The following is a 17,919-nucleotide window of genomic DNA, read 5'->3' as shown; positions in this document are numbered from 1 at the left end:
GTAAAAGTTTTTACAAACATGGGGACTTTTTTTTCTTCTAAATGTATGATTAATAACTTCCAATATCAACGTATACACCAAATACATTGGAAAGGCTGCACCGATTAGGAAATTGGTTAAATATAACCAATCTGCTATTGTGAGGCTCTTAGATTTGTTTCTAACTGCCTGCTCTTACAAACAGTCCAGCCAGTGAACATTCAGGCAAAGTTCCTTAATCATTTCCTTAAGAAAAATTCCCAGAAGTGGTGTTGCCAAGTGAGAGTTTATACATATTTAAGTTTTCTTTCTTTCCTGATTTTCCTGCTCTAAAGTTATACCTCTTCTGGCCAGGCACGGTGGCTCACTTTGGGAAGCCGAGGTAGGCTGATCACTTGAGGTCAGGAGTTTAAGACCAGCCTGGCCAACGTGGCAAAACCCTGTCTTTACTAAAAATACAAAAATTAGCCAGGTGCGGTGGTGTGCACCTGTAATCCTGGCTACTCAGGAGGCTGAAGCAGGAGAATTGCTTGATCTCAGGAGACGGAGGTTGCAGTGAGCTGAGATCACACCGCTGCACTCCAGCCTGGGCAACAGAGCCAGATTCTGTCTCAAAAATAATAATAATCGTAAAGTTATACCTGTTCATCTCTTTCATATGTCCTAATAATCATATGCCATTTCCCTAGTCGGCTCATTCTTTTACACTTTCAGACTGCCCACTCTCTGCTGATGGCATTGCTTCCTATTTTGGTGAGAAAATAGATGCCTCTGGAAGTTTTTGAAATCCCCACCAACCCTTCTACCCACCTTCCAGTATCTGCGACCCTAAGCCTTGCCTCCCCTTCTCTTGACATGGAAGAACTGACTTCACTTTGGGCACTGGATCCTAGCCCCCTTTGCCTACCCGAGGATGTAGCTCCAGTAAGTCTCTAAAAAACTTTATTTTGGCAAATTTCTCTTACTTGAACCATCAAGTTTTTCTTCTTTTTCTTCTGTGGTTCATTGTCATCAGCATGCAGCTTTAATTTTTTGCATCTAGAGATAGACAAGCTGGGCTTAGTGGCTGTCACCTATAGTCCCAGCTACTTGGGAGGCTGAGGCAGAAGGATCACATGAGTACAGGGATTCGAGACCAGCCTGGGCAACACAGCAAGACCCCATGTCAAAACAAAAACAAAACCCGAATAGACAAAACCCTTCTCTAGGCCCCATTTCCATTTTCAGCTGCAGATTTATTTTTCTTCTCTTTGTAGAAAAACCCCTAGAAAGTGTTGTCTTCATTCACTGTTTCCAGTTCCACCCATTCTTTGTTAAACTCACTCCAATCAGACTTTCTTTCTTGTTTTTTTTTTTTTTGAAACGGAGTCTCACTCTGTCACCTGGGCTAGAGTACAATGGTGTGATCTCAGCTCACTACAACCTCTGCCTCCTGGGTTCAAGAGATTCTCCTGCCTTAGCCTCCCAAGTAGCTGGGATTACAGGTGCCTGCCACCACGCCTGGCTAGTTTTTTGTATTTTTAGTACAGACAGGGTTTCACTATGTTGGCCAGGCTGGTATTGAACTCCTGACCTCGTGATCCACCCACCTCAGCATCCTAAAGTGCTGGGATTACAGGCATGAGCCACCTCGCCTGGCCTGACCTTGAAATCTTTCTTAGCAGCCTTTATTTTTAGCATCTTCCCAAATTCCCCTGTCATCTTGATCACTTGTCAGTACACACACACGCACACACATAAACACGCACATCTCCTTTTCCTTTAATAATTGCAGGGATTCAAGAGAATGAAAATCTCTGCTCTTCAGAAAATTATGGAATGATCTTAAAGAAAATTTGTGGAATTTGAGAAGCCATCTTGTTAAAACCAAGCAATCCTAACTGTTTGAATTAGAGTTCGTGAATTGGTCAAACGTAAACACAAGCTGCCATTCCCTGGTGGATATTTACAGAACTGTCATGAACTGTTGCTGCCCCATATAGTCAACTGGTCGTGCACTGCATGACTCCAGGGGGAACACTATTTACATGCAGATGACAATGAGAAGTCTCTCCCTGGATTTGGTTGGTGTGACAACCCCCAAAAATGTCTGGCTGGATTAATTCAATTTTATATCATTTCTAGGTTATTTTCTTTTTCTCACTCTGTTCTTCTCCCTCCACATATATATATTTTGTTTATTTGTTTGTTTGTATGTTTGTTTTGAAACGGAGTCTCGCTCTGTCGCCCAGGCTGGAGTGCAGTGGCCCGATCTCGGCTCACTGCAAGCTCTGCCTCCCGGGTTCACGCCATTCTCCTGCCTCAGCCTCCTGAGTAGCTGGGACTACAGGTGCCCACCACTATGCCCGGCTAATTTTTTATAGTTTTAGTAGAGACAGGGTTTCATCATATTGGTCAGGAAGGTCTTGATCTCCTGACTTCGTGATCTGCCCACCTCGGCCTCCCAAAGTGCTGGGATTACAGGCGTGAGCCACCGCGCCCGGCCTACCCTCCCCATATGTTAACCATTTGTCTAAGAGAAGAAGACTCTATTGTAATAGTCAATTTTTAAAAATTATCCTTTTAGTCCCCCTCTCCCACAAAGTGGGGATGCAAGCCATTTGGCCTAGGAAAATGGCCAAACATGCCGTGGAATGAGTTTGCTGACAGGACTCTACAGAGGAAGCTTGAAAAGAAAGCAAACAGCTGACCTTTGAAACTCATGGCACCTCTGGTGGGACAGGCAGAGGCTATGCGTCTTCAGACCCTTCTGTCTTGGCTCTTTACTCTCTCCCCCAAATCACCTGCTCACACCCCACGATCTATGTGATGGGCCTTATGTATTTAAATCTAATTGTTTCTCATTACTGTTAGAACTTTTCAAACATTTTTTAAACCTGAGAATCTCTTTCTTCCAAACAAGGAATATAGCAAACTGTCATACAAAATGTTAAAACAGATCAAGGCAGAGCTGCTCTGTAAGCCTTTTGAAATTGGAATTAAAAACCTTGCACTTCTGCTGGAATACACATAAAAGCCTCTCCTTTTCCTCCCAGCCCCACCCTGGCCTCTGGTAGATTCTCCCAGAGAGGACAGTGAGGCCCTTGCCTAGGGTACAAAATTTTAGAGGGAGGCAGGGGGAAGTGGCAACAAAAAACTCAGTAACTAAGAGAAAGACTATTTTAATGCAATACTTTATTTATTTATTTATTTATATTTTTTCGAGATGGAGTCTTGCTCTGTCGCCCAGGCTGGAGTGCAGTGGCACAATCTCAGCTCACTGCAAAGTTCGCCTCCCAGGTTCAAGTGATTCTCCTGCTTCAGCCTCCAGAGTAGCTGGGATTACAGGCGTGTGCCACCACGCCTGGCTAGTTTTTGTATTTTTATTCAGGACGGGTTTCACCATGTTGGCCAGGCTGGTCTCGAACTCCTGATCTCATGATCCACCCACCTCGGCGTCCCAAAGTGCTGGGATTACGGGCGTGAGCCACTGCGCCCAGCCTGCAATATTTTAAATACAAAAATTCATGTGAACGAATTATTAAAATACTAATGACAGGATCAGCAATAGTGTCTTACTGAGCCATACTGGAGCCTGAATCAAAAGAAAAAATTAGTAATGCTAGTGATACTGTCTTTATCTTTATAATATTCTTTGATTACTGAGTTTTTGGTGTCCCTTTAAATTTAGGGCTTAAAGTAAGTGACTCACTCTCCTTAACTGAATTTTGGCCCTCATGCTATCCTTTACGTTCATCACTCTGTGTTGTTGTACAGCTGAATATTTCTTGTCTCTCATTCCCTCTTAGAATGCATGCTCCCTGAGTGCAAGGACAACGTCATACTCATCTTTGCATCTCTAACATATGTAACTTCTCTGGCTTCAGCTTGCTTATCTGTGAAATGCAAAACTGGGTAATCTTGAATGTCCTTCAGTATCTGTCTATAGAAGTCTATCTATAGAAGTTCAAGTCACCCCAAACTTTCTCTGCCTGGTGGTTGATGGTATCAATGAGGCAGCCACAAGAGTGCTGGTATTTTGCAACAGATTAGAGAGCTGTGTTCAGTAAAGCTAAGGGGTTATCTGTAAAACACACTCTTGGATGGATAATTCCTTTAAACTTTCATTTTGCTGGGACTGTACTTAAAAAGCCATTTGGAGGGTTATCTCTCCAGTAATGCTGTCCTCGTTGGGAAATTCAGGCATCGCCCTTTAATTAGGTCAAATATGTTAAGAAATAGCTTCCCCCTTCTGGTTCCTTTCCTGTTAGACTGGTTGTCTTAAAATGTGGGGAAAGGCCATGAAGTATTGAAAAACATTTTATGTTTTCTTACCATCCTTTGTGTGTAATTAAGAGGGGAGAAACATCTGAAAAGAGTGAAGCAGTTCATTGCAGGCATAAAAAGAAATGCATGGAGCACCTACTGTCTACCTACTATGTCCAGCCCTCTGTGGGAACAACAGCATATCAGACAAGATTTCTGTTCTCGATGAGTTTTCAAGACCCTGCTGGGAATGCAAACATGAGCAAAGAAAAGCCAGAAGTTGGTTTTATAGCCAACTGCCAAGATCATAAGAAAATGGAGTCAGAATCGTGGAAGAAAAGGAGGAAGCAAATTACCTTTAGGTGCCTACCATGTGAGGACTTGAAAACATTACATGTCTTTTTTTTTTTTTTTTTTTTTTTTTTGAGATGGAGTTTCGCTCTTGTCACCCGGGCTGGAGTGCAATGGTGCGATCTTGGCTCACTGCAACCTCCGCCTCCTGAGTTCAAGTGATTCTCCTACCTCAGCCTCTCGAGTAGCTGGGATTACAGGCACGTGCCACCACGCCCAACTAGTTTTTGTATTTTTAGTGGAGATGGGGTTTCACCATGTTGGCCAGGATGGTCTCAATCTCTTGACCTCGTGATCCGCCCACCTCAGCCTCCCAAAGTGCTGGGATTACAGGTGTGAGCCACCTTGCCTGGCCTACATGTCTTTTTTATATGAAAACATGTCCTCACTGTCTTTTGAGTTAAGTTCTAATATTAATATCTCTGATAGACTAATAAGGACACAGGGGCTTGTAGTTAAGGTCACTCATGAATATTATTTGCTTTCCCAAAGTATTTGCATAAAGTTATTCTAATATGTTTGAAATGGGTAACTGGATCTGGATACTATTTAGTTTAACTAAATTAGGAAGTATGGCTTGTCTTTCTTCCTCCTCAGTGGTATAGAGCCTTGGGTTTGGAAGTGGCTGTTATTTAACCATCTCCTCCCTGTGCGGTTTGCTTGTTAGGACACCGGTGACCAGAATTTGGAAACTCTAGTTGGGGAATTTACACAGGCCATTAATTTCATTTTCACACTCAAATATGATTTAGGCCCTGCTACTGGGTCATCGGAAATAAAGTACCCATGTATTTTATTTGGTAGTTCAAAAAGCTTTGTGTTCAGTGACCAGTTTTTCCCAGCTGGCTTTATGCTCCAGGATTGTCCTCTCTTATTTCCAAAGGCAGGCTAGATTCCAGCTGTTTCCATTAAGGAGGGCTCAGGTGAAAGCTGCCTCCTCCATAATTTTAAAGCCATAACCTTGAAATGATGGCTTTGGAGCAACGGAGCCTGTGAAACTGGCTCGGTGCTTTTTTTCTGTCTTTTTTTGATTGATTGTTTTCAGTTTACCCTGTTGTTCTACCTCTCCTCCTTCCTCCACCCCTGACCCTGGAGTGGGGGAGGGATTGGGATTTAACCATCCATGAAAGATTTGGTAGCCTTGAAATGTGGAGTTCTATTTACCTAGAGGCCAAATATGAGGCCGGAAACAAAGCACATATACCCGCCCTCAACCTCAACCTGGATCCGATCTTCTCATTGCAAAGCAAAGGAACTCAACGAAACTCTCCAAGACTCATGAGGTGCACTAAGTATTTCCACTGCTAAAGAAAGTCACATGACTTAAGAGAGGACAGTGAGTTGCCCAGCAGTGGCAACTTTTGAGGCAGGGACCACCTCAGTAAAAGTATCCACCATATCAATTTTAAGATTTTAATTTTAAAAAATGGTTACTTTCTGTTTCTGTGGGATGAGTAGAAAATCCATTCCATACTTGCTTAGTGACTTTTTAAAATTATCCAATGAAATCTTAATAGAAATATTGGTGCAGAACTCTTTGAATGTAAAATTTAAATCACCATACCAAAGGCTAAGAATATGAAATAGTGGAAGGATGGCATGTGATGGGCTTGTGGAACTTCTGGGTAAGTGGTTTGGATGGTTTCTTCCATTAGGCAGTATATATGTGCTTTGAGTCAGACCTGTGTGTCTTCCTGGGTCTATCCTGACAGCTGATAAAAGGCTTGCAGCCTTACATATCTTTCCATGGCCACACAGTCTTGTTAACACACGGTGGGCAGAGTGGCCTGGAGGTGGTCAGTGAGTCAGCAGTGTGTTTCCCAGGATGGTGAAACACAACTCTTTAAAACTCTCTGGGGACTGTAAGAGACCCAAGGGGAAGAAGGCAAAATAAGTAGAAAATATGGTTCCTGGAAGAGCTTATAATTCAATTGTAGGAAAAGAACCCAAATACAGGGAACTTCTCATGAAGTGAAAGTCATGAATACACCCAAGCATACCATGGCACACAGGGCCATCTCAACTGTTCATGGATTACACTACCTACCATCTATATCTCCCCGACCTTCCTCTACTTGAAAATCCAGCTCAGGCATCAGCTTTTCCAGGAAGCCTTCTGACACCCCAGAGGATGAATGTCTTGTCCTCATACTTCCGCATGCCTATCTTGACCATTGCCCTTATCACAGTTTATTAGGATGTTTTTTTCATGTGAACTGTGACCTCCATGAGGGCAGTGACTGGGGTTTACTCATCAGTGTAGCCCCAGCACCAAGCCTAATGCCAGGCACAAGTAAACACATGGTCATAGTGAGCAAATCAGTCAACAATAACTGCTGAGGGTTTACAGTGACAAGGAATGACTGTAAGGTCATCAGGCATAGATCAGATGAGTTGAGTTTTGAATGAAGTTTGAAGGAAGTAGAACTAATTGGATTAGTAGGAAGAAGATTGGGCGTATCATTTATGGGAAATGTCAGTAGCTGCCTTGAGCTCACTCTCATGGAACATTGTACAGGGGATTTTAATGAGAAATGGAATTAATAAAAGAGGAAAGAGGATAGTCAGAGGACTGAAAGCACTTTGTATTCTGGACTTGATAGGCAGACTGTAATTCCACTACTGTAGATGAGAGGGTGGGCCAATGCCAGCAGTGCCCTGATCAAATTCTCACCAGAGAATCTATATTCGGCTTATTTAAATCCTAAAGTGCTTTTAGTTTAATGCAGCATTTCCTTCATTTCCTGTCTGAAATCCTTACACATATTTCAGTAGTAGCTGTGGGTTATTTCCACAAACTACAGTAAACCTGCCCCCGCAGAGGTCCAAGCCAACTGAAGTTTTTCCTTAAGGCTGCAACCTTCTTATCTTCAAGTGACCTTAATCTCACATTTATTATGACTTGAGCATCATTTCTCATGTATTCTCATATAGTAAAAAGCCCTTACTTGAGTTCTGCAATCACAGCAGCACCATCAGGAAGAGGAAATGAGCAGAGTTGTTAAGCAGAACACGCTGTACCTTTTTAAACATTAACCATTGTTCAGGTCTGTGGACCGGGCTGCTGAAAGCAATGGTGGGAATCAGGAATTACATGCAAAAAAAAAAAAAATCTACCTATGGAAAATTTTAGCATTCCCTTAATCTGTCTTGGTCCCCAAAGTTATATGGGCTTTTATTTTTAAAGACATAGAAGTGTAGTTAAGCTGACTTATCTCTTATCTAAAAATAACTCTATCTGACCCATGTCATGTTCAGAAGAGGACAGTCATGCTGTCTGACAGCATTTAAGTTGGTTTGACCTCACACTATTAGTATATTACTATGGAAGTGGTTTGTGTTCTATGAGGAACTTTGTCTTAGCAATTAAAAGGAACTTCATAATCTTTGCTATTTGCTGCCATAGCCTAGACATATAGTGGGTTAGCAGTGATTTTATAATTAATGAGTAACTTTTCGTTGCTCTCTTGATTTTGTTTTTCTATAAATGTGGATCACGGAAACCAGCATTTAAATGATTCTATGAGAAATGTGGTGGCTGGCCTGGTGCAGTGGCTCACGCCTGTAATCCCAGCACTTTGGGAGGCCGAGGCAAGCAGATCACCTGAGGTCAGGAGTTCGAGACCAGCCTGGCCAACATGGTGAAACCCTGCCTCTACTAAAAATACAAAAATTGGCTGGGCATGGTGGCATATGCTGTAATTGAAGCTACCTGGGAGGCTGAGGCAGGAGAATCGCTGGAACTGGGAGGTGGAGACTGCTGTGAGTTGAGATCGTGCCACTGCACTCCAGCCTGGGCAACAGAGCAAGACTCTGTCTCAAAAAGAAAAAGTGTGGTGGCTGCAGTCATCATTATTGTCATCATTTTGTTACTGGGCACTTACTATGAGCCAAATACAGAACAAATGATTTCTGTACATTAGATCCTGGCACTTCTATTGTAGTACTTCTCAAGGTGAACTTAAAGGTGTGGTATAAGTATCTATCTCTGCTATATGACTAGTCTCCAGAGTATAGGGTCTATATCTTATTCTGTTAGCTATTCTAACATCCTGCATGTATCAAGGCACTCAATAATTGTCTGTTACATAATAGAAACAACTTGAGATAACAGAATTATACCACTTCCAGGATCTTTAAAAAATTTTATAGGCCGGGCGCGGTGGCTCACGCCTGTAATCCCAGCACTTTGGGAGGCCGAGGCAGGCGGATCACACGAGGTCGGGAGTTCGAGACCAGCCTGACCAACATGGAGAAACCCCATCTCTACTAAAAATACAAAATTAGCCGGGCATGGTGGCACATGCCTGTAATCCCAGCTACCTGGGAGAATGAGGCAGGAGAATCGCTTGAACCTGGGAGGCGGAGGTTCCGGTGAGCCAAGATTGTGCAATTGCATTCCAGGCTGGGCAACAAGAGTGAAACTCCATCTCAAAAGTAAAATAAAATAAAATAAAATTATTAGTGTAGTACTGTTGACACAATGGTATTTCTAATAACAAATTCTGGAAACAAACTAAATTTTAACTCTAGGGAAATAGTTTAATGTAAGCAACAATATAACTACTCTATGTAGTATTAGAGTGCTGGTAGAAATGAAAATTTTTGAAAACAAAACTTGTCACCCTGAAAAAGCTTCTGATGATGTCAGGCAAAAGTGTCATAATACTAAATTGTATATACAGTTTGGTTGCTGCCATGTTAAAGGAGGAATGTTATTCATAAAGACAAAAAAGAACCTAAGGAAAAAATGTACCAAAATTTTGATAGTAGTTAAGGTGGAATAATTATGGACTTTTTTTCTTCTTTTCCCTGTTTTCCACATTTTCTATGCCACTTTTATATTGAAAATGTAAACACAATTTTGAAAGAAAAAGAAGAGGCCGGGTGCGGTGGTTCATGCCTGTAATACCAGCACTTCGGGAGGCTGAGGTGGACAGATCACAAGGTCAGGAGATTGAGACCATCCTGGCCAACATGGTGAAACCCCATCTCTACTAAAAATACAAGAAAATTTAGCTGGGCATGGTGGCAGGTGCCTGTAGTCCCAGCTACTCGGGAGGCTGAGGTAGGAGAATTGCTTGAACCAGGGAGGCGGAGGTTGCAGTGAGCCGAGATTGCACCACTGCACTCCAGCCTGGCGACAGAGGGAGACTCTGGCTCAAAAAAAAAAGAAGAAGAAGAAGAAATAAATAAAGAAAAAGAAAACAGTAATGTTTATAGCATTATCCTTGGTTAATGAGGTAATGGGTGATATTTATTTAGATGGTTCTTACTTTCAAAATTTTCTACCATAAACATGGATAACTGTTTTTTATTTTAAAAATTTCTAAACATAGCAAAGGGACACGTGCAGTGGCTCATACCCGTAACCCCAGCACTCTGGGAGGCCAAGGTGGGAGGATTGCTTGAACTCAGGAGTTTGAGACCAGCCTGGGCAACATGGCAAAACCTCATCTCTAAAAAAAAAAAAAAAACAATAATTAGCTGTGTGTGGTGGTGTGTGCCTGTAGTCCCAGCTACTCGGGAGGCCAAGAGGTGGGAGGATCACATGAGCCTGGGAGGTCAAGGCTGCAGTGGGCCACGCTCCAGCCACTGTACTCCAGCCTGGGAGATAGAGCAAGACCCTGTTTAAAAATAATAATAATAATAATGATAATAATAAAGCAAAGGACATTTGGTAGTAAAACCCTTAAAATTCATGTCTCCTTCCTGACCCCAGTGGTTCAGAAGACTCCTTGGAAGACTCTATTGGGTCAAATATGAAAAGATCTCTGTGGAATTCCTCAAACTCACGTTTGGCCCAAATGACGGATTGCTTAACGGTGCCACTGTTGTGGTAGTAATGCAGACTGTGAATAATAAGAACAATAATGAAAGTGTGGCCATTTAACTCGAATGCTCGTTTGATTTGCTGAAAGGCAGAAGCTTTCTATGTCGGTTAGATGTAAACTGCACAGTTCGGCAGGCCACACTGTGAGGACAGGCCTGGAATAAGGGATGTACTTGTACACGTATCATGACAGAAACACATTTACTGTGAAGGCAGCTGTTACTCAAAATTATAAAAGGCCTGGATGTTGGGAAATTTTTCCCTTCGAAGTCCCCTATGAAGATTTCAGAAACAGCTTTCCCCAGTTTTTTCACCTCTAGACCGTCTCTGTATTGAGGGGTCTCTCCCTATTTACCCTGTCTGCCTGCTTGCTCTGTTTTTCTTCTTCTCCCCACCACTCTTAGCTCTCTTAGGTACCTTGCTTCTTGCTTATTTGTTACCACAATTCTACTGAGATGTCCTGACATCTCTGGCTGCAAGGCACTATTAGCAGACGGTTCCCATCTTGTTTTAAACAATCCTCTTTTAGTGTCTACTTTGCATAGCTCCTGGGCTCCATTAGCTTTAATTATCTAGCAGGAGAGCCATCCAGACAATTTCTGGTGGAATAAAATTGGACCTTTCCACTGAATAACAACAAAATAATAATAAATAAATTTAAACCCTGAAAGAGCATTAAGTTCTTGGTTCTGCGCAAATCAGGAGAGATTATTTGCAAACATCAGGATTAATAATCAATGAATTAGAAAGAATTCCTGATCCTATTAGAAATGCTAATCTCGTGAGAACAGAGAGAACGATTTGTGAGAGGAGCTGAGCTGCCAGGCTGTGCCTGTCTCCACTGTCCTGCTGTGTGAGAAAGGAGGGAAAGGGCAAAAGGAAAGAATATTTGTTCAATACCTACTGTGTTCCAGACATTGGGCAAGGGACTCTCACACAATCCCTCTAGCTAGTCCTCACAGCAATCCTTCAAGGTAGTATTATGATCAGCCTTGTTCCTGATGAAAAACTGGAATATCAGCAAGATTAAGTAGGCTGACCTGGGCCACACATCCAGGAAGTGGCAAATTTGGACATGGGGGACTTGAGTGCAGGACTTTGTAAGTCCAAAGGTCATCACTTTCTCATTACAGCAGTTGCAGAGCTTGGTTAAGTAGCTGGCAGCAATATCTCAAGTTATTAAAGACCGAAAAGCAAGGTACGGATCATCTCTTAGAGGCTGGCCTCTTGCTGTCATGGCTCCAGGACTCACTCCCACACTGACTGTATTTCATATGCGTGAGTTGAGAAGTCACATTATCCCGGATTGTCTCCAGGGAGTCGTGCCTTTAAGTCTCAGAAATGATAGCCGCTGCCGTAAAACTAAGTGACTACCCTGTGTTGTTTGGGTAGGGGCTGAAATCATTCCTCAGCACCCATTTTCTCTCTTCATAATATCCCATTAAAATACATAAACTCTTACAAAGGTAACACCTGAAATTCCTTTATTACCCACTATCTTGGCAGAAGGTAATTAGGCAATGTCCAGAGGCCAGGTGCTTGAGTGGAGAGCCAGGTAGATGAGTTCCAGAAGAGAAATTCTCCTTTGTCACATCAGCCCTCACCTTGTGTTCAGCCCTGTCTTTATGTTTCAATTTTCCTCTTGGTAAAATTCCAATAAAAATAGGACACTAGGAACAGGGATCTAAACCAACCATGATTTGAAACCTGAAATGGATTCAAATTACTGATTTTGCAGACTCATGAGACTAACTTTTGACTTTTTTTTTTTTTTTTTTTTTCTGAGACAGGGTCTCACTCTGTCACCCAGGCTGGAGTATAGTGGCACAATCTGTGCTCACTGCAAGCTCTGCCTTCCAGGCTCAAACCATCCTCCCACCTCAACCTCCAGAGTAGCTGGGACTACAGGCGTGCACCACCATACCCAGCTAACTTTTGTATTTTTTGTAGAGACAGGGTTTCACCATGTTGCACAGGCTGGTCTCAAACTCCTGAGCTCAAGCGATCCTCCTGCCTTGGCCTCCCAAAGGGTTGGGATTACAGGTGTGACATTTATTTTTTAATAAGCATTTAATTTTAGACTAGTTTAGATCTGTAGAAAAGTTGTGAATATAGAAGGTTTCCATGTATTGCACATCTAGTTTGCTTATTGTCAACATCCTATATTATGTATACTTGTCACAATTAAGGAACCAAAATTGATACATTACTATTGACTGCAGACCATACTTTATTCAGATTGCCTTGGTCTCTCCCCCGCATCCTTTCCTGTTCCAGGAAAGGTCAATAGCAATGTATCAACAGGATACTGCATTACATTTAGTTGTCATGTCTCTTTAGGCTTCTCTGGACTGTGACAGTTTTCCAGACTTTCCTGGTTTGGGATGACCCTGGGGAGAACTAGTGAGGTAATCTGTAGAATGTTTTTCAATTTGGGTTTATTTAATGTTCTTCCTGTGGTTAGACAGGAGTTACGGGTTTTTGGAAGCACAGCTTACAGAGGTAAAGTGCTCTTCTCGTCACATTGTATCAAGCATACATGACTTATCACTATGATTTAACATTTACTTTTATGGAAAATAAATCATGTGAAGATAAGCCAGTCTGAACCAGAACTGGACCTGTACATTTTCTAAAATGATTAAACTGGCACAAATCAGATTGCCAAACTGTCTTGAAACAACAAACTAATGTTTCATTCAGTCTAAGTCCACGGTTGTAAGGTTTATGTAAGTGCCTTTGCAGAAAATATTTGGAGTTCCTTAGAGAAAACAGCTGTCTGAAATAATGTAGTTAGGATGCCATGTATGAAGAATTTTACTGAACTGGGAGCGAGCAAGTGCTCAGTCATTGCACAATACCAGCTGTAAAACCCTGCCTGTTTCACCTCCAGGCCAAAAATCCCCGGAAGACAATAGTAGCAATGAACCAGACTTTCACATTTCCTGCCTCCCCTGAATTCATAACATTTCCAAACTGCTGGGCTGCTCCTTAGGAGCCTGTACCATTCATTGCCTTATAGGGAAAGCACTGGCAGAATCACTTTTCATTTGTATTGCATGAGAACATCTTCATTTCAATGATTTAACTCTGATTAAATTTAGCCGTCAGCCTTTAAAGTTCTCTGAGAAGCATTCAAACTCAGATAGGGAAGAAGCACGCCAGCAGGTTCTCTGCAATCCTTTCCCTCCTACCTTCATGCAAGCTTGTTTCCAAGCAGCTGGGTGAGGCCTGGCGTCATTCAGAGAGCAATCCTTTGCCAAGCTTGGAGGTGCTTGGTTTGAATGGATCCTCCCACCCTTGCAGTCCTGCTGGGGAAGGCAGTGGGAGCTCCCTGTGCCGCCTGCCACTTTTGCATCGTTCTAGTTTAAATTGCTTCCTTCACTTTCTCGCTTCTCAGATAAATGCAGCCTGTGGTTTTTGGTTTTGATTTTATTTTTATTTTTAAAAATTTGGGACTCTTTCTATTTTTGCTTTCTTACCAAACCATCTTGTATTTTTCCTCTTCCTGTTTTGGCCCTCCCGCCCCCAGCCCTACTGTGTTCATTGAACACCCAAGGTTAAACAGTGGGACTGTTTCCCCTACTGAGTGTCTTTTTGTGTGCTCTCTGCTGCCTTCTTGCTATTCCAGTGTGTGCAGGCGGAGGGGACAGGAATGGGGATGCAGTTGCACAGAGTTCCTCCCTGGAGAAGGCCAAAGTAAGCCCATACGGAGGTGGCGCACACAGTTCCACAGACCTCCTCCCACACCCCTTTTTATTTGTTCTTTTAACAACCCCAAGGGTGTCATTGATGCAAATTGTGTGTTAGAGTTTTCATCTTGTGCCTTCTGTGTGCTCACCATCCAGAAAACTAAGCAGAACAACTAAGTGACCTAAAAACAGGTCCGCAGAATTCTTGAAGTGGATTATGGCAGATAGCACTGCCTTCTGTTTTATCAGTATCCTGAAAAAAAGGGAAGATGGTATTTTGTAATCATGTCCATGTGCTCCAGGCTGGATTGATTATCAGGGCCAATCTTAGATGTTACACAATCCCCAACTACTTTCATCTGCTCTGTCCTAGTCAGTATACCCAGCTGGATAAATAACATTAGTCCAAGCACAGCTTCCTGGACAAATGTTAAAAATTGATAATGTCCTACATTTTCTGGAAGCACAGGTGCTTCAGATCAACAGGGCTAATCTTGTTGAAACAACTAACGCTAAGCCTTTTTATAAGACAAAGAGCTTTGGTGTTTACAGGTTCAGATTTGGGAGGAAAAAGTAATTTTCTTGGAGCTAAAAATGTTTCCTCTAGAACTAATGGATTATTAACATTCAGTGTGGTTTATTGAACTCAAAAAAGAAAAAAAGAAGAAAAGAAAACCAACCAAAACAAAAGTAATAAAACCTGCACTATTACCATCGGCTTATTACAACAGTTAACTCCTTGCTTATGAGTTTTTCAAAGATGACTCCTCTGGAAGCTTCAGATAAATTTATTGTTTTGAAACAGATTGCTCCAGGTTTCTCTTATCAGAACAGACCTAGGTAGAATAGGGGACTCCTACTAGAATATGGCTAGTTTTTAGTCACTTAGAAATGTTTCTTATGGTTGAATAGACAACCTCATAACGGGGTTCATGAGTACAAGTTTGTCAAGATTCCACTTTACATGGCATGGATATTCTCTACTCAAATTCTCAAAAGATATTCTTCTGTAAATCTATAGGCGAAAATCAAAAGACTCATTCCAGCTCTTCTCCAGTTGAGAGGCAATGTAGAAGCAAGTCTCATTCTGTTGGTGAAGACGTTAAGCAGATCCTTAATCTGCTAGGGCCTCTGCTTCCATCTGTCTAAAATAGGAAGTTCAACTAAGGTCTAACTCTAATAATCTGTGCACCAATTAGAACAGTGATTAGGAAAGAGATTTTACAGTCGGACCGCCCAACTTTCAAACACTAGTTCTATCACCATGTAGCTATATATTGTTGGGCAAAACAGTTTACCTTTCGGAGCCTCAATTTCCTCATCTGTAAAATGGTTATAATAACAGCACCTAACTTAAAAGGCTGTGGTAAAGATTATATGAGATAATTACATGAAACACTTAGCATAGGGGCTGGTTCATAAGAGATGTTAGATAAATCTTAACTTTCATTAGTAGAGGACACATTATTGTAATAAAGTTTATTTATATGTGGTTTCCACTCTGTTATCACTAAACTGATCATTTAAAAAAGAGAGAGAGAGAGAGAGAGCATCTTGCTCTGTTGCCAAGGCTGGAGTGCAGTGGCATGATTATAGCTTGCTGCAGCCTCAACCTCTTGGGCTCAAGCAATCCTCCTGCCTCAGCCTCCCTAGTAGCTGAGATTATAGACATATGCCAAAATATCAAGCTATTTTTTTTTAAGTTTTGTAAATATGAGGTCTCACTGTGCTGTCTGGGCTGGTCTTAAACTCCTGGGCTTATGCTGATCCTCCAGCCTCAGCCTCCCAAAGTGCTGGGATTACAGGTATGAGCCACTGCGCCCAGCTTGATCAATTTTTATAGGGATGGATGAATCAGGCAAATATGGTTATACATTCAGAAGTCACTGTTAATATGTCATCAATATTCCTGCTCCTGGTGTTTTTGATGCCAAATAATAATTAGGTATGTTGTATCCTCTGTGGATGGCTTCCTATGACCACAGTGCTGGCATTAGAACAGATAGATGCCACTGGAAATTTGGTTCTTTTCCTGAATGGTCTCTGAGCCAGGGCCCCCATAAAGGCTTGAAGCTAATAATTTTTGACAAATGATGGTAGCAAATTACAGGGATATATACTTTTTAGGAGTGTGTGTATGTTGGGGGGTATGTCCTCTTTCCCAGAATATCATATTCCTAAAATATCATGGGTAATCCCAGTCAAACCCACAGCAGCAGCGCCCTTCGTGATGGATGAAAAAGATGACCATGAGGGAGGCAAGAGAGAAGTGAGGTTCGTGGTGTTGATCAGGAAAGGGGAAAGCCTGGTTTCTAGTCATACACCTAAGCTAGCTGGGTGCATTTGGGCAAGTTGTTTGAGCCTCAGTTTTCTCATTTGTAAAATCAGGATAATACCTGCTCAGTCCTTCTCACAGGACCAAGTGAAGTCACATGCACGAAGGGACTGTGTGCAGTCATACAGCATTTCATAAATGCAAGGGACTCATTAAAAGGTCTCACATAAGACCAAAGAACTGCTGAAATAAGTCCATGGAAGTAAAAGCTTCCCTGAAACATTTTCCTTCTTTGAAGGTATTTGAAATCGACAACTTCCTGTTTTGATTGTCCTTGTCTGAAGTGTTCATCTAATTGCTACTTCATACAAGCAACCATTTCCACCTGGAAAGTAAGGACTTTGGAATCCCCTGCCCATATGTTAGACCCAGGGGCTCCCTGTGGGCCAAGCAGATCTGAAATCATCATTGGCTTCTGTCTCCCTCCATTGGAATAGAAGCTCCTCCAAGGCAAGGACGTTGCCTATCTAGTTTACCAGTACCTGGTCCAGGATACTCAACAAATGTTGTTGAATAAAAGAATACACTGGGCCAGGCACAGTGACTCACACCTGTAATCCCAGCACTTTGGGAGGCCGAGGCGGATGGATCACCTGAGGTCAGGAGTTCGAGACCAGCCTGGCCAACATGGTGAAATCCCGTCTCTACTAAAGATACAAAAATTAGCTGGGCATGGTGGTGGGTGCCTGTAATCCCAGCTACTCAGGAGGCTGAGGCAGGAGAATCGCTTGAACCCAGGAGGCAGAGGTTGCAGTGAGCCCAGATCATGCCACTGCACCCCAGCCTGGTGGACAAGAGTGAGATTCTGTTTTAAAAAAACAAAAAAACACTTAAGTTGCTTCCCCCATCAGGATACTGGAGTTGCACCTGCAGCAAAACCAAATAAATAAAAGACGAGAAGTAGAAGGGAGAGAAGGAAGCAGGGGAGGAGGGAATGGGAAGGAGGGAAGAGGGAGGAGGAGGAGGAGGAGAAGGGGGAGGGGGAAGGGGAGAGGAAGAGAACATAATTTCAACAGGTGGAGGGCTCCTGGTAAATGATTCAGGAACATCATCTCCTACGCATCCCTTCCCTTACTCCCTCCTGGCTCCTAAACTCCATGGGGAGAAGGCTGGTTTTGCTGACAGGATACTTTTCAAACCAAAGCTGAAATAACTTCAAAACAAGGTGACATCCTAGGGATACAAAGTGCCATGACTAGGACACGCTGCTTATTTAGTAAAATAAGATACAGTTTGGCCCTTTCCGTTGCTGTCATGAGGAAACAGTGGTTCCAGCTGACTTTAAAACTGCTGCCTAAATGAAGGAATGAGGATCTTCTGGGAAATATAGGCTTCTAATGGAGGGTTGTGATTTGAAAAGTTCCCACGCAGTGATTTTTTTTTTAAAGGCAGCGGCTGCTTCTCCACCATAATCTGTTATATAATTACTGTGTAACTTTGTCACTGCCTCTTACAAGACAGATTGAAACTTACCCACCTAGACC

At 42.4% G+C, this 17,919-nt stretch overlaps 1 protein-coding gene and 1 long non-coding RNA gene across 7 annotated transcripts in view; one reads left to right on the top strand and one right to left on the bottom strand.

Annotated features, from left to right (window-relative positions):
- POC1B-DUSP6 (POC1B-DUSP6 readthrough) overlaps window positions 1–17,919 on the top strand; it is a 177,983-nt gene that overhangs the window by 128,217 nt on the left and 31,847 nt on the right. The window lies entirely within an intron of this gene.
- Window positions 3,134–15,692, bottom strand: LOC124902980 (uncharacterized). Its single transcript, XR_007063400.1, has 2 exons — window positions 11,313–15,692; window positions 3,134–3,459 (listed from the first exon to the last, which is right to left on the bottom strand). It is a non-coding gene; the product is annotated as an uncharacterized LOC124902980 (long non-coding RNA).

The sequence above is a fragment of the Homo sapiens genome, chromosome 12 (genome assembly GCF_000001405.40).
Source record: "Homo sapiens chromosome 12, GRCh38.p14 Primary Assembly".
Taxonomy (NCBI): domain Eukaryota; kingdom Metazoa; phylum Chordata; class Mammalia; order Primates; family Hominidae; genus Homo; species Homo sapiens.
This window is presented reverse-complemented; position numbering and strand designations above follow the sequence as displayed.